The sequence below is a fragment of the Homo sapiens genome, chromosome 12 (genome assembly GCF_000001405.40).
Source record: "Homo sapiens chromosome 12, GRCh38.p14 Primary Assembly".
Lineage (NCBI taxonomy): Eukaryota > Metazoa > Chordata > Mammalia > Primates > Hominidae > Homo > Homo sapiens.
In genome coordinates this window covers 93488780-93516695 of record NC_000012.12, presented here as the reverse complement: position 1 = coordinate 93516695, position 27916 = coordinate 93488780, and the positions used below count along the sequence as shown (strand labels likewise).

Below are 27916 nucleotides of genomic sequence, written 5' to 3'. Positions count from 1 at the left end.
GTGTGGTGGTATGTACCTGTAGTCCCAGCTACTTGGGAGGCTGAGGTAGGAGGATTTCTTGGGCCCAGGAGGTCAAGGCTGCAGTGAGGCCAGATTGAGCCACTGCACTCCAGCCTGAGCAAGAGTGAGATCCTGCCTTAAAAAAAAAAAAGCTCTCAAATATGTACATTTCTGAGTATATTATGTGTAGCTACAGGTAGGTAGGTAGGTACATGGATGACTGATAGATAGATTCAGCACAGACATCTCTCTTGAGCTCCAGAGTCATAAATCCATCCAATTACTTCTTGGATATCTCCACTTGGAGTAACCTACTAATATCTCAAAGGTAACCTGTTAAAAACTGAAGACATTTTCTTCTTCTCCAGTATTCTTTATTTCTATTACTGGCACTACTCACACCTGACTGTCCAAGCAAGAAACTCTGAAATTATTCTTAACATCAATGCTCTTTAACCAGAGACCACCAGGAACACACCTCTAGTTAAACAAGTTGAGTTTATTACTCATTGCAGCAAAGAAGAACACACAACATAGGGAACCATGGGGTGTCTCAGTATGAGAGTGTTTAGAAGAACCTAGTATAGAATTTGGGATTGGGAGAGGGTCTAAGGAAACGGGTTTGCTCCAGATTGGATACTATCAGAAAGAAGGAGAATTTCATGATTATCTCAATACATCTTCTCTATAGGGAAGGCAGACTAGAGCTGGGACAAAGCTGTCACTGGTAAAGTAGCAGTTGCTCATTTTAGCTGAGAGAGGGTGATTTTTGGTATTTTCTGGATGGCACCATGACCCTCTTTTTGCCTGTGCTTAGACAAAATTACAAAGTGGACTTGTTTTTTCTCACTTTATTAAGGTTTCAGAGTCATCTTGTTTAATGTTGGTATTCTGTGAGACTTATGCCCAATAGGAAAATAACATAGCCTAGCTGTGAATGCCAAGTCAGCTTTCAGATGTCAAGAGCAGCTTTTCTCCCCGCTTTTTCATTAATCACTCTCTGCCATTCCGTGTAAATTAGTTGCCAACCCAGGTGCAGTGGCTGATGTCTGTAATCCCAGCCCTTTGGGAGGCCGACGCGGGCGAATCACTTGAGGTCAGGAGCTCGAGACCAGCCTGGCCAGAATGGCGAAACTCCATCTATACTAAAAATACAAAAATTACCTGGGAATGGTGATGCACACCTGTAGTCCCAGCTACTCAGGAGGTTGAGGCACGAAAATTGCTTGAATCCAGGAGGCAGAGGTTGCAGTGAGCCGAGATCACCCCACTGCACTCCAGCCTGGGCAACACAGCAAGTCTCTGTCTCAAAAAAAAAAAAAAAAAATAGTTGCCAAGGCCTATTAATTTTTACTTCCTATGTATCTCTGGCATTTCTTGGTCCCCTCTTCTCCTTCCTTAATCCAGGCCATTATCATTTGTCAGCTGAATGACTCCATCAGTCACTTAACGGTGTGCCCAGGAGTCCATCGTGCTTCCGTTCCAGCCCATCCTCCATGGTCTCCCTGTAGCCAGAGTGAAGGCTCTGAATGCATCATCCCCTGCCAAAAATCTTCTTTGGTTACATTACCAGCTGTTACTAACATTTAAATGGTAAAATTAAAAATCAGTGAGGTTAGCAATGAAAATAAACTTTTTTCTTTTCTCCCGAAAAGGAATCAAGAAGGGTGGAGAGTGTATCTGCAGAAGGAATCAGCTGAGTTTGGAGACTATTTTGATATCCTGATTCCCTCTTAAGAAATGATGACTCAATGCAAATCAAGAGGATGACATGACTGCTAAAAAATGTAATGCATTATTGGCACCATTCGTAAAAGTATACTGTCCACAGTAAAAAAAAATATGTTGTCCTGGGTAATACATTTTAAGAAATATATCATTAAAAGCATGTGTCTAAAGGAGGACAATCAGGATAAGGGAGAGTTCTGGAAACATGTCATATGGATAATAAGAAAAAATAAAGCTTAAAGAAAAATAAGAAGGAATATGACAAATATTTTCAAATAGGAGTAAATTTATTTCATATAGATTCAGGGGGAGAATCAAGTCTGAGGATTATAAACCATAAGCAGACTGATTTCCACTCAATATAAGGAAACACTTTCCATTAAAACTGTCCAATAATGGCCAGGTGCAGTGGCTCATGCCTGTAATGTCAGCACTTTGGGAGGCCAAGGCAGCCAGATCACCTGAGGTCGGGAGTTCAAGACCAGCCTGGTCAACATGGTGAAACCCTGTCTCTACCAAAAAAAAAAATTAGCCAGGTGTGGTGGTGGGTGCCTGTAATCCCAGCTACTCAGGAGGCTGAGGCACAAGAATCGCTTGAGCTTGGGAGGTGGAGGTTGCAATGAACCGAGATTGACAGAGGAGACGCCATCTCAAAAAAAAAAAAAAAAAAAAGAAAGAAAGAAAGAAAAAGCAGAGGGAGAAAACTGTCCAATCATTATTGGAGTTAGGTCCATGGAAACGTAGTGAACTCCTAGTTACTAAAAGAATTCAAGAGAAAGCTGAATAATATTCCAGAAAGTACACTATAAAACAGGAGTTGGCTGGGCATGGTGGCTCACGCCTGTAATCCTAGCACTTTGGGAGGCCGAGGCAGGCAGATCATGAGGTCAGGAGTTCAAGACCAGCCTGACCAACATGGTGAAACCCCGTCTCTACTAAAAATACAAAAATTAGCCGGGTGTGGTGGTGGGCACCTGTAGTCCCAGCTACTCGGAAGGCTGAGGCAGGAGACTTGCTTGAACCTGGGAGACGGAGGTTGCAGTGAGCCAAGATCACACCACTGCACTCCAGCTGGGGTGACAGAGCAAGACTCGGTCTAAAAAAAAACAGGAGTCATTGAACTATCTGTGATGAAAGGATAGTTCTTTAATCCATTGTGGTCTAGTACTTTTATAAATTATAAAATGAAATTAGTAGAATGAAAAACATTTTTTAAAAGCCCCAATTTTTAATTATGTTAATGGATATAAAATTAAATTTCAATAAATAGAATTGGAACACACATAAAACGGAAAGAGAAAAAATTATTTAAAAACTTTCACTGAAAATGTGAATTTAAGATTAATATAATTTCTATAACTCAACTTTTTGTCATTCTTCAATTATAACTGAAGATTATAATTGAAGTAGTGATTCTGTTTATTAGACCATTAGATATACTTTGAATAAACACAATGCATATTAATATTCAAAAGTTTTTAGGTCAAGCAAGGTGGCTCACACCTGTCATCTCAACACTTGTGGGGGCCGAGATGGGAGGATCACTTGAGACCAGGAGTTTGATACCAACCTGGGTAACACAAGGAGACTTGGTCTCTACAAAAAATAAATTTGCCAGGCGTGATGGCAGACACCTGAAGCTCCAGCTGCAGGCTGAGGTGAGAGGATTGCTTGAGCCCAGAAGTTCAAGGTTACAGTGAGCTACGATTGCACCACTGCACTCCAGCCTGGGCAATAAAATGAATGAGACCCTCTCTCTCAAAAAAAAAAAAAAAAAAAAAAAATTCTAAATGTCACAAATGAGCTGGTTTCTTTCTCGTTAAAATATGTAATCCAGGGTAGATTGACAATACTACTACTTTCATGGATTGATGTATATCTAAACTGTTTCCATGGTTTTTAAAAAATATTATTCATAAGATGAAACCAGATTTACAAAGGGATAATGGTCGGAATGGGAAAAAAAAGTTTTTAAACTAATTTCAGCATACTCAGAATATTCACTTTTAACTTTTATCCAAAATGAAGCAAGTGGTGTGGTATTTTCAAAATTCATTTTTAATCCTTCATTAGTTGCCAGTTAGAACAATGTATCATATAAGCTTACAATTAAATTTAAATCCTCTTTTGATGACATAAATGGATTCCAGATCTATGAATTTGCCGTATGTAGACATTCTTTTGTTGGAAAATAAAACTTAAAGCATTCTATCAAATTCACAATAGTTTGATTACTTCTTACAGATGTGCAATATCAAGACAATCACCAACTTCAATGACAATTGTTAAATTATGGAACATGTAATAACAATCTGTAGCAACTCTGGTCTTTCAAGCTTCTACCTTTTGCTTTTGCTCTTTGATTTTATCTGCCATTAAAAAACAAGTTGCATTCCTGCCTTGTATGAAAGAATTCTGAAGCTATCAGAACTGTCTTCAGATAATTGAAGATAGTAACTTCAGGTAACTCTAGCTGGCCAATTTATATCTTTATTTCATTTTATTATTTTATTTTGAGGCAGAGTTTCACTCTTTTTATCCAGGCTGGTGTGCAGTGGCACAATCTTGGCTCACTGCAACCTCTGCTTCCTGGGTTCAAGCGATTCTCCTGCCTTAGCCTCCCGAGTAGCAAGGAATACAGGTGTGTGCCACCACGCCCAGCTAATTTTTGTATTTTTAGTAGAGATGGGGTTTCACCATGTTGGCCAGGCTGGTCTCGAACCTCTGACCTCAGGTGATCCGCCTGCCTCGGCCTCCCAAAGTGCTGGGATTACAGGCATGAGCCACCGCACCCAGCCCAATGTATATCTTTATAAAGCTGGGACCAAACTGGCTTCTTGCAGCAATAATTAAATGTTCAAATATGCTCAACAGAACTTTCCCTCTAGATAATCATCATATCTCTAAATGTAATCACAGTTGTTTGTTTTCCAAACTATTACATAAAGAGAACAATCTCAAACTTATTGCATTAGCCTTTACACAAGTTATGTTCTTTACTAAGTCACTGAACACACTGTACAGTTCAGTTGATATGCTTTTTCTACCAAGACTTTTTCAAATAAAAAGATATAGTAGGTTGATTTACATTCTAGGGCAAGCTCCTTAATTTAGGTAATTATTCCGGAATGTTCTCTTACCACTGCTGCTATCCATCCAATTGGATTCCTACAAAGCTTCAAACCACATTAATTAACAAAGTAATTTATTCCACACTTTACTGTTGTTTAGAGTTAGCTGTTTGTTGGCAATGAAGTGGAAAAAAGAGAATCTTCCTTCATATTACTATCATATTCAAATAGCATATAAACTAATTGCCATATTAGTAATATCTATATATTAATGGTACATCAAACCAATTGCAAGAAAAGGTAATTTATTAGCTTTCTTTGTTCTATGGGTTGATCTTCCTGGATATTTCAAATTGTTGTGTGTTGGTAACTGGTAATTGAAGTACTTTCTTTGCCACACAGTCTCCCAACATTTCTAAGAATCTTTGATGCTGATTATTATTAAGACAATTATTGTCTATATATAAGATTATTGTCTTAATTGCATTTTTTAGTTTTAGCAATCTAAAGTTGCTTAAAGATGTCTAAAAAGCATTAACGTTTATTTGTGAAATAATGAATATCTGTGCTTTCAGTTTTTTAATTACTTAGGTTTTTCTTTCAAAGAGATCTTCTGGTTTTGGATTTATCTCTTTATGTTCTGTATTTAAATGTTGATTTAGTTTTGATTATTTTATTGCTTCATTTGCCAGAACTTCTCAGCAAATAACATGTTATGGTTTTCCCATGTCTTCATTTATGGCTAAAAAACTGAACTCAGTATATGAAGAATTATATTTATGAGTAAAACTAGAACAATCTATTGGTTTTCATTTATTCAGAATCGCTTTTATTGTCACCATTAGGTTTACTAATACTGTTGCATTCAGAAAAGGTAAGTCTTTTCTTGATAAAAAAAGCCAGTGAAGTTATTTTGCCATCCATAACATGGTGTTAAAGATAAATGAAACAAATTACCCCAAACCTTCACATCGATTGCATTCCCTGCCTGAAACTTTCTCTCCTTTCTCTTTAAACAGATCTAATCTTAACACTGGTCCCCCATAAAAATATTTCCAGTGCATATATCTGACAAAAGATTTATCCAAAATATTTAAAGAAATATTATAACTTCAATCATAAGAAGAAAAAATAATGAGTAAATAGATGTTCCATATCACATATTATCAGGGAAATGCAAATTAAAATAAATGTGATGTGGATGAGCTGTCTGAGCAGAGAAAAACACAAAACAAGTGAGACACCACTACACACCTTTTAGAATGGCCAAAATTCAGAACACTAACACCAAGTGCTGACAGGGATGTTGAGCAATAGGAACCCTTATTCACTGCTGGTGGGAATGCAAAATGGTACAGCCTCTCTGTAGGACAGTTTGGTGGTTTTTTACAAAACGAAACATTCTCTTAGCATTCAATCCAACAATTGTGCTCTTTGGTATTTACCCAAAGGAGTTGAAAGCTTAAATGGACACAAAAACCTACACATGGATATCTATAGCAATTTTATTCATAATTGCCAAAACTTGGAAGCAATCAACCAAGATGTCCTTCAGCAGGTGAATGGATAAACTGTTGTACACCCAGACAATGGAGTATTACTCGATGCTAAAAAGAAATGAGCTATCAAACTGTGAAAAGACATAGAGGAAACAAATGCATATTATCCAGTGAAAGAAACCAATGTGAAAAGGCTATATATACTTTATGATTCCAACTATATGGCGTTCTGAAAAAGGAAAAACTTACGGAGACAGTGAAAAGACCAGTGGTAGCCGGGGGTCAGTGGGGAGGACACGACGAAGAGGCAGAGCCAAGGGTTTTTAGGACAGTGTAGACTCTGCATGACTATAAAGATGGATACATGTCATTGTACCTTTGTTCAAACCCATAGATTGTACAGCACCAAGAGTGAACCCTAATGGAAACAATAGGCTTTGGGTGATAATGATGTGTCAGTGTAGGTTTATCAATTGTAACCAATGTGCCACTCTGCTGGGGGATGGTGATGAGGGAGGCATGGGGGAGGGGAGCACTGAGGATATATAAGTTATTTCTGTACCCTCCTCTCAATTTTGCTCAGAACCTAAAACTACTTTTAAAAACTAAAGTTTTTTTTTTTTTTCAGGAGATGAGGATCTCACTATGTTGCCCAGGCTGCAGTGCAGTGGCTATTCACAGGTGTGATCCCACTACTGATCAGCACAGGAGTTTTGACCTGCTCCACTTCTGACGCTCCTTAGGCAACTCTGGGTCCCAGTGACCCAGGAGGTCACTACATTTATGCTGAACTTAGTGCAAACACCTGATTGACATAGCTCACTACAACCCAGAACTTCTGGACTCAAGTGATCCTCCTGTCTTAGCCTCCTGAGTAGCTAGGTCTACAGGCATGTGCCACTGTGCCTGGCAAAAAGTCTTTTTTAAGTGCTAAGAAAAAAAAAAGAGCAAATGATTTGAACAGATATTTCACCAAAGATATGAGTGCCCAACAAGTACCTGAATCAAAACTTAATGTTATTGATCATCAGAGAAATGCAAATTAAAACCATCAAATTATTACTATATATCCATTAGAATGGCTAAAACTAAAAATATTATCAAATGAGGGCAAGAATATAGCAATTGGAACTTTCATTCATGGTGGTGAGAATATAAAATGGTACAACCACTTTGCAAAAAGCGTTTTGGCAGTTTTTTTTTTTTTTTTGAGACGGAATCTCGTTTTATCACCCAGACTGGAGTGCAGTGGTGTGATCTTGGCCCACTGCAACCTCTGCCTCCTGGGTTCAAGGGATTCTCCTGCCTCAGCCTCCTGAGTAGCTAGGATTACAGATGCCTGCCACCACACCCAGCTAATTTTTGCATTTTTAGTAGAGACGGGGTTTCACCATGTTAGCTAGGCTGGTCTCAAACTCCTGACCTCAAGTGATCCGCCCACCTCCGCCTCCTAAAGTGCTGGGATTACAGGTGTGAACTACCACGCCCAGCCCCCCAGCTCATTCTTAGCTAACTAGTGTGTGTGAAAAAGAGACAGTGTTAAAATATATATGGTTTAAACTGATAAGGAAATGATCAGTTATTGAGCTTATCCATGATTGCTAATTCAGGTAGAGATGGCTTATAAGTAAGTGTTCGGGGCTGCTTACGGGAAGAAAAAATGAAAGTTAGGGATTTCCTTTGGATGCTGGGAAACAAAACTCCAACTGGGTTCTGACAAACATACCATGTGCATTGTCCTGTGGAGACATGACAATGTAAACCCATAAACAAATCGATTACGTTTTGGTGACAACTATTGTGAAGAGAATGGCCATAGTATTTGCTGCTTCTCCTTTTAATAGGTAGCATCTCTCCTCTTACTCCCTTGAATCTGAGATAGCCTTATGAAGTGATATTGTGCCAGTTCTGAGACTAGGCCTCAAGAAGCCTCGAAGCTTCCAATCTTGCACTTTTTTGTTTGTTTTGATACAGGTGCTTGTTCTGTTGCCCAGCCTAGAGTGCAGTGGCACAATCATGGCTCACTACAGCCTCAATCTCATGGGCTCAAGCAATCCTCCCATCTCAGCCTCCCAAATAGCTGGGACTACAGGCATGCAGCACCACCCCACCCTCCCCACCCCCAGCTAATTTTTTAAAATTTTTTTGTAGAAGACCAGGCGTGGTGGCTCACACCTGTAATCCCAGCACTTTGGGAGGCTGAGGCAGGCAGATCACCTGAGGTGGGGAATTCAAGACCAGCCTGACCAACACGGAGAAACCCATCTCTACTAAAAATACAAAATTAGCTGGGCGTGGTGGCTCATGCCTGTAATCTCAGCTACTCAGGAGACTGAGGCAGGAGAATCGCTTGAACCCAAGAGGCAAAGGTTCTGGTGGGCTGAGATTGCGCCATTGCACTCCAGCCTGGGCAACAAGGGCGAAACTCCATCTCAAAAAATTTTTTTTTTTACAGATGGGCTCTCACTATGTTGCCCAGGCTGGTCTTGAACTCCTGGGCTCAAGAAATCCCCCAACCTTGGCCTCCCAAAGTGCTGGGATTACAGGTGTGAGTCATCATGCCCAGCCCCAATCTCATACTCTTGAAATCCTAAAGCCATGTGAAGAATCCAGGCCTAGCTTGCTGGATGATGAGAGACACAGTCCCCCTAATGCCCCAGGTGACAGTCACTCAATACCAGACATATGAGTGACACCATCTAGGACTAGCCAGCCTCAACAACCCAACTAGTGACCTCAGCTGCATGGGCAAGTCCAGCCAAGATAAGCTGAGCTGGATCCAGACTATAAGAATTACCTGGAAGAACGCAAACTAATGAAAGATTGTTGTTTTAAGCCAATGAGCTTTGGGGTGATTTGTTAATTGGCAATAGATAACTGATATTCAAGGATTCATCCAAAGTTCCCTTAAAAGATAGAACCCATTAAGTCATTTTAAACACTTATAAGCAAGTTATTAAATCCTTAAAAGAAACTGAAAGTTTCTAAGGTATACTGGGTTGGAAAAAGGAAAAGAAAAAGAAACTAAAAGTGAAGGCTGAAACTGACAAGTAAGGAGTTATTTCTCCCTGCAAATGTAATCAGAAAATAAGGTGGAGTGTCTCTGAATGCATAACTGGAACAAGGAAACAATCTAATGGTTTTAGTAGTAAATATATGATTTCAGGGGCACATCCAGTGGAATGATGGAGTCAGTGCACAACAACTTGTAAGACCCAGTCATGGAAACTGGCAAACATTACAAGTTAGAACCAGTTGTTAAATCTTCATTAGTACATCACTGGACACATCTATTGCTAAAGGCACATTTCATCAGTATGTATATGCATAAATATACATATAAGATGTCCTTAATGTTTAAAAAAGACATTGGTTGGTTCTGCCACAATCTGTGATCTTGGGCAAGTCAATTAGTGTCTTTGGATCTGTTTCCAAATCAGTCCCCAAAAATCATCTTTAAGATGTCTTTCAGCTTTACGATTCTATCTTCTATGCTCTTATGGTAATTACACCTGGATGCAGCAATTGAAAAGTCCAATGGGATCAATCCAAATTGCCACACTTAACCATGTTACTGACTACATATATTACTCATCAAGACAATTATTCAAGTAAGTGGCATAATAGTAATCCAATGTACTTTGCATTATGAGTGAAGAAGAGACTAATTTTGACTAGAGGGGAAAGAAGGGATGGTCATAGCAAGATACTTTGTCAATCAGGAATGAGGGCTATCTTTGAACCCACAGTGGCTTGAACTCTATAGGTGCTTAATAAAATTTGCCGAAAAGATTACATGCTTAGAGACAACATTATAAAGAAAAGACATTCTTGGCCGGGCGTGGTGGCTCATGCCTGTAATCCCAGCACTTCAGGAGGCGAAAGCAGGTGGATCACCTGAGGTCAGGAGTTTGAGACCAGCCTGACCAACATGGAGAAACCCCATCTCTACTAAATACAAAAAATTAGCCGGACATGGTGTTGCATGCCTATAGTCCCAGCTACTTGGGAAGCTGAGGCAGGAGAATCGCTTGAACCCGGGAGGTGGAGGTTGCAGTGAGCTGAGAATGTGCCACTACACTCCAGCCAAGGCAACAAGAGCAAGACTCTGTCCCAAAAAAAAAAAAAAAAAAAAAAGAGACATTCTTGCTGAATTGAAGACTCAGAAGAGGCTGGGCACAGTGGCTCACCCTTGTAATCCCAGTATTTTGGGGGGCCAAGGTGGGCAGATCACCTGAGGTCAGGAGTTCAAGACCAGCCTGGCCAACGTGGTGAAACCCCATCTCTACTGAAAATACAAAAAATCAGCCAGGCATGCTGGTGCACGCTCATAATCCCAGCTACTCGGGAGGCTGAGGCAGGAGAATTGCTTGAGCCTATGAGGCGGAGGTTGCAGTGGGCTGAGATCATGCCACTGGCCACTGTACTGCACTCCAGCCTGGGTGACAAAAGTGAAACTCCATCTCAAAAAAAAAAAAAAAAAAAAGACTCAGAAGTAATCATAAGGTTCTACTTGCTATTCTCACATGTAATTGTGAGACTCTGCCTCCATTTCTCCATCTAAAAACAGGAGCTCATTTACAAGCAACATGACAAGAATTCAAGCAGTCATGGCTGTGAAGCATTTCTGCAGAAGGATATGCTATGTAAGTATGAGGTTGTTACTAAATCAAAATGAATGCCTTTGTGCAAAACTAGAAAGCACATTACATATTGTTCCTGAGTATTCCTTCCCAGTGCATTCAAAATATTCTCACATTCACAAGGTTAAACAGCACATTAAAAAATAGTAGGAGGCTGATGGCTGAGCTCAATTGGGAGTATCTTTCTTTGGTGTTAGAATGTTTGAAAATTATTTTGGGAAGACTATGAGCAAGTTATTTTGAACTTCTGGGGAAAAAAAAAAATCTGAAGAAGCATTCCCTTTGCCTAAAAGCAAAGGAGACATTTATTTATGCCTTTAGCAAATAAAATAGTTTGCTTACTACCAGTGTTTGTGGGCTGATATTCAACTCATCTTCTGGAAATTTTAAAAATACACATTGAAACTGAAAAAGTATTCTTTGAGTAAGGGTTTACCTGAAGTGCCCAGAACCATCCAAAATGATGGCACATTATATCTTTTTTTCTTAAAAATTTTTGGAATCTAATTGAAGATGCCTCTTAGAATATGTGGAAACCACACGTGCTATCTTGCATATCACTATCATTTCAGTTCTAATGTTATTAGGTGTTTAGCTACAGGCAAGTAGAATTAGGGCATGATGTGACAGACTGTAATGAGTTGCTGAGAAACTACATACTCTATCCCCAGGAAAACACATATTCTCAAAATTCTACACAATTTCAGGAATTTCATAGATGCCCCTACCCCAAATCCCATTCATGAAATCCTTAGCTTAAAATCCTGTGCACTAGAGCAATGTATTTTATAAAACCATATTCAGATGCCTGTGAAGCAATGAATGTGCTAGGCAATGTTAGGCGGTAGAAACAGTGATACACGTAGTCAGACAGGGTACCTAGAAGTCATGGAGCTTATAGGCTAGTAGGGGATATGGACATTTACCAAATAATCACACAAAAAGATGCCTAATTACAAACTCTGATTAAGTGCTATGGAGAGATATACAGTGTTGCACGTAACAACAGAATCTAAAGAAGTTACATTTTAGGGGGCATATAAACAATGTTGTGCAGGGGAGGTAGAAGAAACACATTATGGTAAAGGGCTGCAAAGGAAATAAGCCCATAATAAGGCCTCTTATAGGTTTAAGCTAGGACCTGAAACTTGTATACTTTATATGCTTTGAAATGAGACATACATTAAAGTGGCTGATCAAATTAAAACATTTTCCAGTCTTTGCCTACTAAATTGATAAAGATTTTTTAAAATTTTAATAGAACTAAAGAGAAAATATTTCTATATACTGATGTTAGGAGTATGCAGTTTAGGCCAGGCATGGAGGCTCACACCTATAATCCCACCCAGCACTTTGGGAGGCCAAGGTGTGTGGACACTTGAGGTCAGGAGTTCGAGACCAGCCTGACCAACATGGTGAAACCCTGTCTCTACTAAAAATGCAAAATTACCTGAGTATGGTGGTGCACACTTGTAATCCCAACTACTTAAGGAGGCTGAGGCAGGAGAATCACTTGAACCCGGGAGGTGGAGGCTGCAGTGAGCCAAGATCGCGCCATTGCATTCCAGCTTGGGCAGAGCAAACCTCCATCTCCAAAACCCAAAAAGTATACAGTTTAAACCACTGACTTTAAAAATGTACATAAACATGGATGCCGGACATGGTGATTCAACGATTGCACTTACAGAAACAAATCTAAGAAAACAGTAATGATCTTGCCAGCTTCTGATGAGATTATAAGAAAAAAAAAAGAAGAAATAAATTTAAAAAAAAAATAAAAAAAGAAAATGGTAATAATCCACCAGGATGTTAATAACAGCATTATTCACAAGATGGAACAGAAACAATGATTTTGTCTAACAGCAGGGAGTTAATTAAATTATGACAAGCCAGATTATAGAATAATATGCACCCATTAAATCAGAGTACTTAATGATACGGAAAAAATTCCTATTAAGTGAAAAAAGCATTACAAAACAGCATATATTATGAGCTCTATTTTTATTTTTGAAATATATTTATGCAGAGAAATACAAAATGTTAACAATATTATCTTAAAAAAAAAAAATAAGGCTGGGCACAGTGGCTCACACCTGTAATCCCATACTTTTGGAGGCCAAGGTGGGTGGATCGCTTTGAGCCCAGGAGTTCAAGACCAGCCTGGGCAACATGGCGAAACCCCGTCTCTATAAAAAAAATTAAAACAATTAGCCAGGCATGGTAGCACACATGTGTAGTCTCAGCAATTCGGGAGGCTGCGGTGGGAGGATTGCTTGAGCCCAGGATATTGAGGTTGCAGTGCAATGTGATTGTGCCACTGCACTCCATCCTGGGCGACACAGCAAGACCTTTTCTTTAAAAAAAAAAAAAAATCAGTTTTTGCTATTGGTCTACTCAGAATATTCCAGCACTTAATTTCACTATTACCATTTATTCTACTAGTCATTCTCAACTAATGAACATCCAAATTCTCTGCTAATTAAGTGCTTTTAAAAGTCACTTTTGGGCGAGATGTTCAAATTAAGCCCTGGGTGAGAGTGCCCTCTGGTGGTTTCCCAATAATGCTTGAACAAGAACTGTGTAGTGAGTTTTTCATGAAGCTAAATGTATTTAAATTAAAGAAGCATCCCACTTTACGAATTTTAAAATGTCTGCAAAACAGACAAATAAGTAGATCTTTCATAAAATGTTACTGATGGTGGATAACAGGTTCTTATCCCTGGGGGACGGGGGAGGAACAGAGGGCAGGTGATGCTGGTGATCACGGACTATGTGCTTATTTAGCAAAATTAAAAATCAGCAACCCATGAAAAGCAAAATCCCAGAAAGCACAGTGTTAATCTATACTTCCAGTAGAATAAAGTCAAAGTTAATTCTCCAAAGCACTGACACATAAGTATGTGGATGTGGGCATCTTGGGTAAATCCTTATTTAGCAGAGCTTTGTACTCGGAAGAGAAGAAAATCTTCATAATCATATTTTGATTTTTCACTTCTTTCTACATTTATAACATAGCTAAGAATTTGTAGAATTTTGGATATAAGTCAACCTGAAAGAAAACCAAACATTTTTCAAGAATACACCATCGACAAAGCTGGTAAATATTTCTGATTTATCAAGTTCAATCAAACTTGTTTTTTTAATCTTTCCAAATGAAATTTATATTAATGGAAAAAGTAAACCACTTAACAGAGGGTCACCATTATTAATTATTTCCTTTACTCTCTATTCCTCACACTTCACTGGCCACTTGAAACTTCTAGAGTTCCTTTATTAAAATAACTAGATCAAACAATAGACTTTGAGAAATTATTTTTCATATCAATTTTACAAATACTGTATCACAAACATTCTACAGTACAAATTTAAATAAAGCAACTTTCTACCTTATTAAAAGATTCTTCACCTCCTAAATAGAAACTGAAGGGGAAGCAATGCTATTAAGGATCATACATAAGCTAATAGAGGCAGCAGAATTATCTATTAACATTTTCCTAACACTATTCTAGTGACCTTAACATTTTAATCACAGAGCTGCAGCTGTTTGCATGTGTTCTAAAGCTAGCATAATCTTTAAGACAGTCAGGAAAAAAAACCTTCAAAACAAATTACATAATATTCTATCTAGAAAAATTTCCAGGAAAGCACATTCTTGGGTGAAAGAAAACCACCCCTTTGTCATTGTGATGCACTAAAAAAAAGCTTTGGAGCCTGATAGTTTGGCTCCTGGCTCTCCCACTTGTTTGGGTAAGGTTCGAGTCACTGTAAAATGTAATTATACTCCCTTTTCAAAGGATTATTTTGAGAATTTAATAAGAATTGATGGAAGGGGCCTAGCAGATAGTAAAACCTGATTAAAATATCACTAATTTAATTATTTCCTAGAAGCCAACTGAAACATCATAACATTTATTTTCTTGGTAGACCTTATGAGTTTATTCTCAAAGGCAATTAAAAAATCTCCTTCAGGAAAGCCATGCACATTTTTATTAATCATATTTATACTACTAACAATGCTTGGCTGATGATTAAAAATACTTAAATCACAGTAGACACACAAAAAGAGATGTTTCTCAACTTATCATAGGGTTACATCCCAATAAACCTACTATCAGTTGAAAATATTGTAAATTGAAAATGCTAGCCTGTCTTAAATATGCTCAGAACACTTACAGTAGCCTACTGTTTAGCAAAATTATCTAACACGAAGCCCGTTTTATAATAAAGTGTTGAATTTCTGATGTAATTTATTGATGTTCTACTGAATATGTATGGCTTTGGCACTATGGAAAAGTCCTAAATTGGAGACCGCACATAAATGAAACACTAAAATAGAAAAAGAAAAAAGAAAATAGGTTTCTCTAAATGAGAATGTCAAATCCAGAATTACTTTATATAAAAGTACACATTCTAATATATGAAAAGATATTTTATCATTATTACTTTACTATATATTACTGAATACACCAGACTGCATTTTCTCAAATGGCAAATGAGGCACATTTCTCTTTGATTCCCCCAGGAACCTCCGCATCATCTGTCTTTTGGAGGATTCAGATTCTTACGACATCTGTGATACCTTGAAAAGAAGAAAATACTTGGAATAAGATGATTTTAATAAAAATTATTCCTGATAAAAATCTAACTTCTATGATTATTTTGCTATTGGAACTATTTTTTTAAAAAATCAATGAAACTACGTATCAGCCATTTCTTAGTAATAAGCCACATTCTCCCATTGTGAAAATTTGTTTTCTTTTCTTTACCTAATCATTTTTTTTTTCTAGAGACTGGGTCTTGCTTTATTGCCCAGGCTGAAGTGCAGAGGTTATTCATAAGCTCAATAATAGTGTACTACAGCCTCAAACTCCTGGCACAAGGGCTCCTCCTACCTTACCCTGCCTAGTAGCTGGGACTACAGGCACACCACCACACGTGGCTAAGTTGTTGACTATTAATTAAATTAAGCATTTGAAATAGTTTTCTTTCATATCTTGAGGATAATTTCAACATGGTAACCCAGATGACTGATTCTGATAAAAACTAATGGTTTTTTGTCTTAGTAGTGAAGAAATATCACATCTGGTGAGATTTAGGCTTCCAAAACATAAAGAAACACCACATCGTGAACATGAACGTGTTCTGTTAAAAGTTTTATTTACAAGGGGCTATTGTCCTCTAAATGGAGGTCTCTATAAATGCAAAATCATGTTTTAATATAAAATAAAACTAGTAATATGTCTGTGGAAAAATGTGTAATGTCATGCAAAATGGAGGGACTGCAAATCAGAACAGTGAGGAACCTTTTGTTTTTGAGATCACAAACATGTTAAAAATCATAATGCCCAATCCAAGCACAGGTGTGGTGAAATTAGCAGTATGAGACCCGACTGGTTAAAAGTATAAACTTTTACTTCAAAATACTTTTGAAAAGCAGTATGATAAGATGTATCAAGAAATATTCATAATTTTTGACCTAGTAATTCCTCTTCTAGCACTCTGTCCCAAAGGAATATAGAAAAAGTAGTTAAAATATTAAGGAAGAACACAGGAGAAAATTTACATATACAGTATGATGATAACCATGTAAAAATAGGCAAACTAACAAAACTTATGTATAGATATAGAGAAATGAAATGCATTGTCAGCAGTGATAGTTTTTGAGTGATTTCACCATGGAGAATTCTTTTTGCTCCTCTGCATTTCCTTATTTTCTTTACTGATTTAAGAAACATTTCTGCACAGAGTACATGTGTTTTTGTGATGAGTTACGTTCAAAAATTTCCTTCAGGTCAGATTTTGGCAAGTTGGTCACAAGTTAATTTTTGTTTTCAATCTTTTGCTAATGTGGAAATTCAGTTTTATACTATAAATGGTAAGACATGTACCCTGTGATCTTTAGTTGTTGTGATTAAGATATCTAAAGCATTTTTTTGCTTCAGGTTTCATATGGGCAACTTCCTGATACACTGATTTTATTTTTGAAAATTTGCAAAATACAGGAATTAAGTTGAAATGAACGAAGTACAGCTGTCTATACTAACATGGAACAGTAAGCTGTCAAAAAATACACACAGTAAAATACCATCTGCATAAACATTTCTACATGTACTTATGTTGGCATACAGAAAATTCTGTTTTTTTCTAAAAGGTTCCATTGACATACCAGATAATCAAGGTTGTACTAGTACAATAGTGTCTCTGAAAGGCATTCTCTCAAAGCAGGGAGAACGGTCATCAGAATAGTGGTTCTAGAAGGAGTTTGGGAAGTCATTAACCTCTTGAAATTATTTGTAAAAATTTTGAATAGGTGTTTCTCTGGGCAGTGGATTCAAAACTTTTATCAGACTCTCAATGAAGTATGAGACCTTCAGAATGCTAAGAACTATCCATTAAAAGTGTCATTCAGCATACACTGTTCAATTATATTTACTACTCAAGACTGAAAATGTTTGAGACTCTGATAGCCCTAAATTGAACAAAGTCAAGTTCTAAAATATGCTCAATAAATGTCAAATAGCATTTACACATATCTTATCATGCATGAATTTTAATGTGCACTACAATCACTAGCCAAAAGCAAGCACCTTAATTTTACGATGACCTTATTCTATCATCCAGATTGGGAACCTTGCAGACACTATTAATTAATACAAGAGTTAAATTGAGATTGCTCCTGGCAAACCAAGTTATATTGTTACACTTCTTAGATTACACAATGACTCAGTGACATCTGGAACACTGGTCTACAGCTCTTAACCCAGAAAACTTTACCTCCTGGTTCATACTAAGCTAGGTAATCAAATCTGTTTCCTACTGATGGAAGTAGCTAATTTTTGTTGTCTCCATGGGAAAATATTAAAGTAGTTTCTTAAATAAAGTGGTACTATTATTCATGCATTTGTAAGATTGCCCTATATTTCAGAAATTTAGAATTATTTTCTCCTGCCTGCCTGCCTGCCTGCCTCCCTCCCCCGACCCCCTCTCTTTTTCTCTCCTCCTTTCTTTCTTAGAGTCACGGTCTTGCTCTAACACCCAGGATGGAGTGTAATGACACAATCATAGCTCACTGCACCCTCAAGCTCCTGGGCTCAAGTGATCCTCCCATCTCAGTCTTCTGAGTAGGTAGGACTACAGGCATGCACCACCATGCCCAGCTAATTTTTAAAAATCGTGGGGGCTGGGCACAGTGGCTCATCCCTGTAATTCCAGCACTCTGGTAGGCCAAGGTGGGCAGATCAGTTGAGCCCAGGAGTTCGAGACCAGCCTGGGCAACATGGTGAAACCACATCTCTACAAAAAATTTAAAAAGTAGCCAGGCATGGTGGTATGCATCTGTAGTCCCAGCTACTCAGGAGGCTGAGGCAGGAGAATCTCTTGAACCTGGGAGGCGAAGGTTGTAGTGAGCCGAGATCAGGTCACTGCATTCCAGTTTGGGTGACAGGGCAAGACCCTGTCTCAAAAAAAAAAAAAAAAAAAAAAAAAGTTATTATGAGAATCAGAATCATTTATCCATTTTAAAATGTGTGAGCACCTACTATGTGTAGATCCTAATGATTCTGTAGTACACAAAACAAGATAAAAATCCCGACTTTCATGGATCTTACATTCCAATACAGGAGATAGGAAAATAAGATGAATAAGCTGGTCAGGGAAGCCTTCATTGAGTAAAAACCTGAAGGAAGTAAGAGAGCTAGCTTTACTGATACTGTGAGAAAGAGTGTTCTATGCAGACAAACAGCAAGTATAAAAGCCCTGAGATGGAAGGAAGGACATGTTCAAAAGCAAAAAAGAGGCCATGTAGCCAGAATACATGAACAAGGAAAAGACAGTAGGGCATGAGAGCAGAGAGGTAATGCAGGACCAAATCATGTAGGTAGTTGTAGGCCTAGAGTGTTTCTGAGTGAGATAGGAAGCTGTTTGAGGATTTTCAACAGAAAAATTACAAGAACCAGTGAAGAGAGATTATTTGACTTTTTCTTTTCCTGAGTGGACGCCTTTTTTTTTTTTCTTGCCTGATTGCTCTGGCTAGGACTTCCCCAGTACTATGTTGAATAGGAGTAGTGTGAGTGGGCATCCTTGTCTTGTTTCTGTTCTTAAAGGAAATGATCTCAGCTTTTGCTTGTTCAGTATGTTGGCTGTGGGTTTGTCATAAATGGCTCTTATTATTTTGGAGTATGTTCCCTCAATGCCTAGTTTGTTGAGGATTTTCATCATGAAAGGATGTTGGATTTTATTGAAAGTTTTTTTCTGTGTTTACTGAAATGATCATATGTTTTTTGTTTTTAATTCTGTTTATATGATGTATCACATTTATTTATTTGCGTATCTTGAATCAGCCTTGCATCTCAGGCAGAAAGCCTGCTTGATCATGGTGAATTAATTTTTTGATGTGCTGCTAGATTTGGTTTGCTCGTATTTTGTTGAGGATTTTAGCATCCATGTTTATCAGGGATACTGGCCCATAGTTTTGTTTTTCTGTTATGTCTCTGTCAGATTTGGGTATCAGGATGATGCCGTTTTTGTAGAATGAGTTGGGGAGGAGTCCTTCCTCCTCGATTTTTTGTTGTTGTTGTTGGGGGAATAGTATCAGTAGGATTGGTACTGGCTCTTTGCACATCTGGTAGAATTCAGCTGTGGATCTGTCTGGTCCAGAGCTTTTTGGTTGTTGTTTTTTTATTACTGATTCAGTTTCAGAATTCATTATTCATCTGTTCAGGGTTTCAGTTTCTTCCTGATTCAAACATGCGAGGTTGTATGTTTTCAGGAATTTGTCCATTGCCTCTAGATTTTCTAGTTGTGTGCTTGAAGTGTTCCTAATAATAGTCTCTGAGGAATCACTTGTACCTGGGAGACGGAGGTTACAGTGAGCCTAGATTGTGCCATTGCACTCCAGGCTGGGGGACAAGAGCAGAACTCCGTCCCCACCCGCCCCCAAACCCCCCCAAAAAAAATAGTCTCTGAGAATCTGTTGTATTTCTCTGGGATTGGTTGTGATGTCACCTTTGTCATTTCTGTATTACTTTTAACCTGGCTGTCTTTATTTTTAAAGTGGATTTCTTATAGGCAGCATATAGTTGGAGCTTGCCTTTTTTTTTTTTTTTTTTTTTTACCTAATCTGACCTCAGTGCCCCATCTCATTTCAACATCAAGCTATTTCAAATGCTTTATCCCTCAGTTTTCAGCACTTTTACTCTTCCTCTGCTATTTGCTCTTATCTTACTTTCTTCATGACATTTTACTTTTTTATATTCACTTTGAATATCTACTGTCCCTCTTAGCACAACTGCATATAATTATAGTTTATTAGGTATCTATTAATGTTATATTTACATTTTTAGGTGACTTTTTTTGGTTAAATCTTCTCTGGAGTATTTTCTCTTTGTTAAGGATGTTGTCTGGGCGTGGTGGCTCATGCTTGTAATCTTAGCACTTTGGGAGCCCGAGGTGGGTGGATCGCTTGAGGTCAGGAGTTCAAGACCAGCCTGGCCAACATGGCGAAACCCTGCCTTTACTAAAAATACAAAAATTAGCCGGGTGTTGTGGTAACTGCCTGTAATCCCAGGTACTCGGGAGGCTGAGGCAGGAGAATTGCTTGAACTCAGGAGGTGGTGGCTGCAGTTAGCTGAGATTGTGCAACTGCGCTCCAGCCTAGGTGACAAAGCAAGACTCCGTGTCAAACAAAAACAAAAACAAAAAACCCAAACATCTGTTGTGTAATTTTCCACAATAATTCTAACACAGTATCCTTAATACAATGTATGGGTATTAAATGATTGTCTGATGGAATACTATCTCACCTAATTGTCTTCACAGCTTCTTTAAGGTGTTCAGTTCCTCTTTGAAACCATACTTTATGGAAGTTTTGAGGATGCACTGGTAAATTTCCCAGTGATTCTTGGAAGTTTTATTTCCAGAGTTCAGCTACCAGGTTACATGGGTTTATCCATTTTATCTAGGTGGGTCACAGGTGGGTTAAGATGTTCCTCATTATCAGATTCTTAATCAAGGTCAGCAGATCCTTAATGATCCAGAAGTGTTGCCCCACTTCATTCAGTCTTGAAGCTACCTGAGTCTAATTATTGGCCTCACCCAAGGTGGGTGAACTGGGAGTGTAAGTTGTATGACTCTAAAGAATCAATGCTGAATAGGCCAGTGGCTAATAAGTATCGTTGATTAGATTATCTCATGTCTGAAAATCTGAAGTGTTTACTATTAAATGTGTGGGCCAGGATTACAAGCTTGTAATCCCAGCACTTTGGGAGGCCAAGGTGGACAGATTGCTTGAGCCCAGCAGTTGGAGACCAGCATGGGCAACATGGCAAACCCTATCTCTCCAAAAAATACAAACAACAACAAAAAAATCAGCCAGGTATGGTAGTATGCTTCTGTAGTCCCAGCTACTTAGGAGGCTGAGTCTTTAGTCTTCCTTAGTTGACATGAAAAAAAATCAAGTCATAAAGTATTCCTTCTAATATAATCTTCCTAGAACACATCATTTGAGCAATATTATTATTGTAGGACTTTTTTCTTAGGTCAGCTAAAGACACACAACCACAAAAAATTAGGCTCACAGACAATTTGAAGGGTGAGGAAGGACAGGGTTTATTGGGTGAAAAGGAAAAAACTCAGCAAAGCAAGAGAGGTTCCTGTTAACAGGCCCACATCTCACAGATTGAATCCCCAGGTTACCACACCAGATCACAGAGGCCAGGCTCCTTTTCCCTGCAAACAGCGTGAACTTCACGAAGCTCCACCCCATTTTCCCAGTGCACAAGCTGGTCGGAGTTTCTCTGGGGACCCCTGTATCACTATATCTCTAGAGTTCCTGATGGTGTGTCTGTTACTTTTCTCATTAATTCGACCTTAGTAACGGTTGAAATTCTTTTTACATATCTAAAGTTAATATACTATCTTGATTTATCTTGGTGCTTCCCTTTCATCTCCCTTGTCTCTAGATTTTGGAGTGCCCCAAGAATCAGTCCTTGGACTGCTCCACTTTTCTGTTCCATTCTCTAGGACAGGAATCTCGTCCAGTCCCATGGCATTAAATACCATCTGTGTGATGATGACTTCCAAATCCATCTGTGGTCAAGACCTGTCCCTTGACCTCTAGACTTACATATCCAACTGCCTACTTGACATGTGTAGTAGGTATCCTTAACTTGGTATGTGTCTAACTGTGCTTCTGATGGTCCTCCACAAACCAGCTTCTCCTGCAGCCTGCTCTCTCAGTTAATGCCAGTTCTATTCTTCTAGGTGCTTGGGCCAAAAACCTTGGTACCACTCTTGACTCCTCTCTCTGTCTCATACCCAACATCTGGTCTATTAGCGAATCTTGTTAGCTCTATCTCCAAAATGTATCTAGATTTGACCATTTGTCACCATTCCCTCTGCCGCTATCCTAGTCCAAATCATCATTCTTGCCTGTTTTGTTGAAATAACTTCCTAACTGGTCTCCCAGCTGCTTCCTTTGCTTTGCTGCAGTCTGTTTGTAGCGTAGCAGCCAGAGTAACCTACTGTTAACACTTCCCTTGGTTCTTGTAATTTTTCTGTTGAAAATCCTCAAACAGCTTCCTATCTCACTCAGAAACACTCTAGGCCTACAACTACCTACATGATTTGGTCCTGCATTACCTCTCTGCTCTCATGCCCTACTGTCTTTTCCTTGTTCATGTATTCTGGCTACATGGCCTCTTTTTTGCTTTTGAACATGTCCTTCCTTCCATCTCAGGGCTTTTATACTTGCTGTTTGTCTGCATAGAACACTCTTTCTCACAGTATCAGTAAAGCTAGCTCTCTTACTTCCTTCAGGTTTTTACTCAATGAAGGCTTCCCTGACCAGCTTATTCATCTTATTTTCCTATCTCCTGTATTGGAATGTAAGATCCATGAAAGTCGGGATTTTTATCTTGTTTTGTGTACTACAGAATCATTAGGATCTACACATAGTAGGTGCTCACACATTTTAAAATGGATAAATGATTCTGATTCTCATAATAACTTTTTTTTTTTTTTTTTTTTTTTTTGAGACAGGGTCTTGCCCTGTCACCCAAACTGGAATGCAGTGACCTGATCTCGGCTCACTACAACCTTCGCCTCCCAGGTTCAAGAGATTCTCCTGCCTCAGCCTCCTGAGTAGCTGGGACTACAGATGCATACCACCATGCCTGGCTACTTTTTAAATTTTTTGTAGAGATGTGGTTTCACCATGTTGCCCAGGCTGGTCTCGAACTCCTGGGCTCAACTGATCTGCCCACCTTGGCCTACCAGAGTGCTGGAATTACAGGGATGAGCCACTGTGCCCAGCCCCCACGATTTTTAAAAATTAGCTGGGCATGGTGGTGCATGCCTGTAGTCCTACCTACTCAGAAGACTGAGATGGGAGGATCACTTGAGCCCAGGAGCTTGAGGGTGCAGTGAGCTATGATTGTGTCATTACACTCCATCCTGGGTGTTAGAGCAAGACCGTGACTCTAAGAAAGAAAGGAGGAGAGAAAAAGAGAGGGGGTCGGGGGAGGGAGGCAGGCAGGCAGGCAGGCAGGAGAAAATAATTCTAAATTTCTGAAATATAGGGCAATCTTACAAATGCATGAATAATAGTACCACTTTATTTAAGAAACTACTTTAATATTTTCCCATGGAGACAACAAAAATTAGCTACTTCCATCAGTAGGAAACAGATTTGATTACCTAGCTTAGTATGAACCAGGAGGTAAAGTTTTCTGGGTTAAGAGCTGTAGACCAGTGTTCCAGATGTCACTGAGTCATTGTGTAATCTAAGAAGTGTAACAATATAACTTGGTTTGCCAGGAGCAATCTCAATTTAACTCTTGTATTAATTAATAGTGTCTGCAAGGTTCCCAATCTGGATGATAGAATAAGGTCATCGTAAAATTAAGGTGCTTGCTTTTGGCTAGTGATTGTAGTGCACATTAAAATTCATGCATGATAAGATATGTGTAAATGCTATTTGACATTTATTGAGCATATTTTAGAACTTGACTTTGTTCAGTTTAGGGCTATCAGAGTCTCAAACATTTTCAGTCTTGAGTAGTAAATATAATTGAACAGTGTATGCTGAATGACACTTTTAATGGACAGTTCTTAGCATTCTGAAGGTCTCATACTTCATTGAGAGTCTGATAAAAGTTTTGAATCCACTGCCCAGAAAAACACCTATTCAAAATTTTTACAAATAATTTCAAGAGGTTAATGACTTCCCAAACCCCTTCTAGAACCAGAATCTGTAAGGAACTTAAATCAACAAGCAAAAATAAGTAATTCCATTAAAAAGTGGGCTAGGGAACATGAACAGACACTTCTCAAAAGAAGACATACAAGCAGCCAACAAACATATGAAAAAATGCTCAACATCACTAATCATCAGAGAAATGCAAATTTAAAAAAATCACAGTGTGATACCAGCTGATACTAGTTAGAATGGCTATTATTAAAAATAGATAAAAATAATAAATGTTGGCAAGGCTGCAAAGAAAAGCAAATGCTTACATACTATTGGTGGGAATGTAAATTAGTTCAGCCACTGTGGAAAGCAATTTGGAGATTTCTCAAAGAACTAAAAACAGAACTCCCATTCGACCCACCAATCCCATTACTAGGTAAATACCCAAAGGAATAGAAACTGTTCCACCAAAAAGACACATGTAATTGTATGTTCACTGTAGCACTACTCACAACAGCAAAGACATGGAATCAATCCAGGTGCCTGTCAATGGTGAACTGGATAAAGAAAATGTGGTACACATACACCATGGAATACTATACAGACATAAAAAAAGAACAAAATCATGTCCTTTGCAGCAGCACAGATGCAGCTGGAAGCCATTATCCTAAGCGAATTAACACAGAAACAGAAAACCAAATACCACACGTTCTCACGTGTAAGTGGGAGCCAAACACTGGGTACACACGGACACAAAGATGGAAACAAAAAACACTGGGGACAACAGACAGGAGGGAAAGAGGTGAGAGAAAGCTGAAGAACTACCTATTGGGCACTACCTCACTGCCTGGGTGATGGGTTCAATCATACTCCAAACCTCAGCATCACACAATATACCCTTGTGTACCCTCTGAAGCTAAAAATTGAAATAAAACAACAAAAAAAAAATCCTTATCTTAGGGTCTCCTAGGAAACCACATCTAAGACAGCATCTATTAAAATACATACATACATATATACATAGTGAAAGGCAAGCTTAGATAAAAAAATTTACAAAGCATATAGCTCATATAGCACTTTGGTCTCTAAGTTTTATACCTTAATAAGACAACCAATTTGCTTTTTAAAAAATAGGCAAAATATTTCTACAGATACTTAACTGAAAACAAACAAAAACCAAAACCCAAACATATGAATGGCCAATAAGCACATGAAAAGATGTTCAACATCTAGGTAGGTTAACCTCTACCTCTATGAATAGTCCTACCTCATATTATACCCAATTCCCTATGGAGAACACAGAAATAGAGAACACTTCTATTTTATATTTTAAATACTTCTGCATAGTTTAAAAATACTTTTTAAAAATGTGTGTTTTGGCCAGGCATGGTGGCTCACACCTGTAATCCCAGCACTTTGGGAGCCCAAGGCAGTGGGATCACTTGAAGTCTGGAGTTTGAGACCAGCCTGGCCAACATGGTGAAACCCCGTCTCTACTAAAAATACAAAAAACAGCCAGGCATGGTGATGTGCACCTGTAGTCCCAGTTACTTGGGAGGCTGAGGCACTAGAATCGCTTGAATCCGGGAGGCGGAGGTTGCAGTGAGCCGAGATGGCACCACTGCACTCCAGCCTGGGCGACACAGCAAGACTCTGTCTCAGAAAAATAAAAAATAAAAATAAAAATAAAATGTGTTTTATACCTTTTAATAAAAACTTATTTAAGAAGAAGTTATATACCCCCAGTTATTAAATTCATAATGAGTCCCATTCTTTTGACTGCTGTAACTTAAGAACTGTGAAATATTTAGTAAATCATCCTTCTATATATTAAATGAGGTTTAAAATGAAATGGTCTGACTAGGGAAAACAAGCTGAGAATGAATGAATGAATCAATGGATGAATGGACAGATGGACAGATAGACAGACAAAAAGAAAGAAATGGCCACTGACATCCAGAAACCAACACTTGAAAATGACTCACATTAATCCAAAATACATATGTAGATATCAAATAAATATGTGTTGAATGATAAGTGATGACACATAGGCATATTTAAAATTCAGCAAGATGATACATCTACAAGGACAAGGCCTACAGATAAAATTTCTCTTTATACACATAAACTAGTCTCTGGGGTTTCTCTGCCAAGCTCTTTATTAGGATATATATTGGGATAATCTAATTAAAGTCACTTTACAATTAAAAAACGCCTAGTAATTTTGATGGGAAAAAATATCAGGAGATTAAATTAACTAGCAGTCAAAAGCTGATTAGCAGTAAGATTAAGTAAATAAGATTAAACATAGGGTACTAGACACAAATGTCTAAAGACAACATGCTCGGTTTTAAGACTCCTAGTCTCCCTGTCTTCAGTCTTGTCTCCGTCAAGTTACATACCTTTAGAGTGATTTGGTTATGAATGCTTAAAACAGATTGTAGCAATATGGAACATGCAGGAAAGAAACAGGTACTGAAAGCCATTACAGAAGAAGTTGAAACAAGGTTTGAACTCAAATACCTGGATAATGTGATATAAATCAAAAATAAACCTGAGATGTTAAGAATCATAAAAAGAAATCTCAGAATATAATGAGATTTAATGATTTAAGGCACAGGGCTATGAGATGGTTTCCTAATTTGTTTGCACATATCCTAACCTTACAATTAAAAATATAGAGAAAAATCCAGATAGCATGCATAAACAAAGTGGGTATTAAATAAGAAGGAAGGCCGGGAGCAGTGGCTCACGCCTGTAATCCCAGCACTTTGGGAGGCCAAGTGGGGCAGATCACCTGAGGTCAGGAGTTCGAGACCAGCCTGGCCAACATGGCGAAACCTTGTCTCTACTAAAAATACAAAAAATTAGCCAGGTATGGTGGCAACATGCTTGTAGTCCCAGTTACTTGGGAGGCTGAGGCAGGAGAATCACTCGAACCTGGGAGGCGGAAGTTGCAGTGAGCTGAGATCACACCACTGCACTCCAGCCTAGGTGACAGAGCAAGACTATGTCTCAATAAATAAATAAATAAAATAAAATAAGAAGGAAAAATCAAGGAAGGAGATACAAAAGAGAAGCAGGAATTGAAAGACTATGTTGCCTGCCCCCCCAAAAAATCAATATTTTTCCTTGGGAAAATGATACAAAAAAATCACTTTTATTATAGAGATTATTAAGAAAGGGGCTTCTTAAGACAGGAAATGATGGGCTATGTTTTGTTATAATAAATTAATATTCTGGGTGCCATAACCCAACCTATTAGTAATTTCCCCCACACACTTTATCCGAAATGCTGTTTCCTCTATCTGTGAAGTTTACCCCTCATTCTCCATGGGTTAACTCCTAACCCTCCTTCAAGGCTCTATCACACTTGATTTAACCGTTTATTTACTCTACTATCTTCCCTCCTTGACTATAAACAATTTGTAACTGGGGATTATGTTTTACACTAACCAGCACTTAGAGCCACTTGATAAATGTATATTCATTAATTCTATAAATGTACCCTGCCATAAATATGCCAGCCAGTGCTAGTTACTGAGTTAAACAACTAAGAACAAAGTTTTGTTCAAACTAGCTGGGCGTGGCAGAGTGTGCCTGTAATCCCAGCTACTTAGGAGGCTGAGGAAGGAGGATTGCTTGAGCCCACGAGTTCAAGATCAGCCTGGGTAACATAATGAGACCTCCTTCTCACAAAAAAAAAAAAGAAAAAAAAGTTTGTTCAAATATAAACAACAAAAACATCTTATAGTTTGGTATGGAAGAAGATAGATACAAAAGAAAAAA

General features: G+C 38.4%; 1 protein-coding gene and 1 pseudogene across 5 annotated transcripts in view; both read right to left on the bottom strand.

Annotated features, from left to right (window-relative positions):
• Positions 1-481: 481 nt before the first annotated feature.
• Positions 482-27916, bottom strand: part of MRPL42 (mitochondrial ribosomal protein L42) — a 48701-nt gene continuing 21266 nt past the window's right edge. For all 5 annotated transcript variants that reach the window (NR_038159.2, NR_038161.2, NR_038160.2 and 2 more), the window contains one exon: positions 482-15520. Coding sequence is in view for 2 of the 5 variants with exons in the window: in NM_172177.5 (NP_751917.1) it covers positions 15475-15520 (46 nt within the window). In the remaining 3 variants the exon portion in view is untranslated. The remainder of the gene's footprint in view (positions 15521-27916) is intronic.
• On the bottom strand, positions 6928-7209 carry RN7SL737P (RNA, 7SL, cytoplasmic 737, pseudogene; annotated as a pseudogene).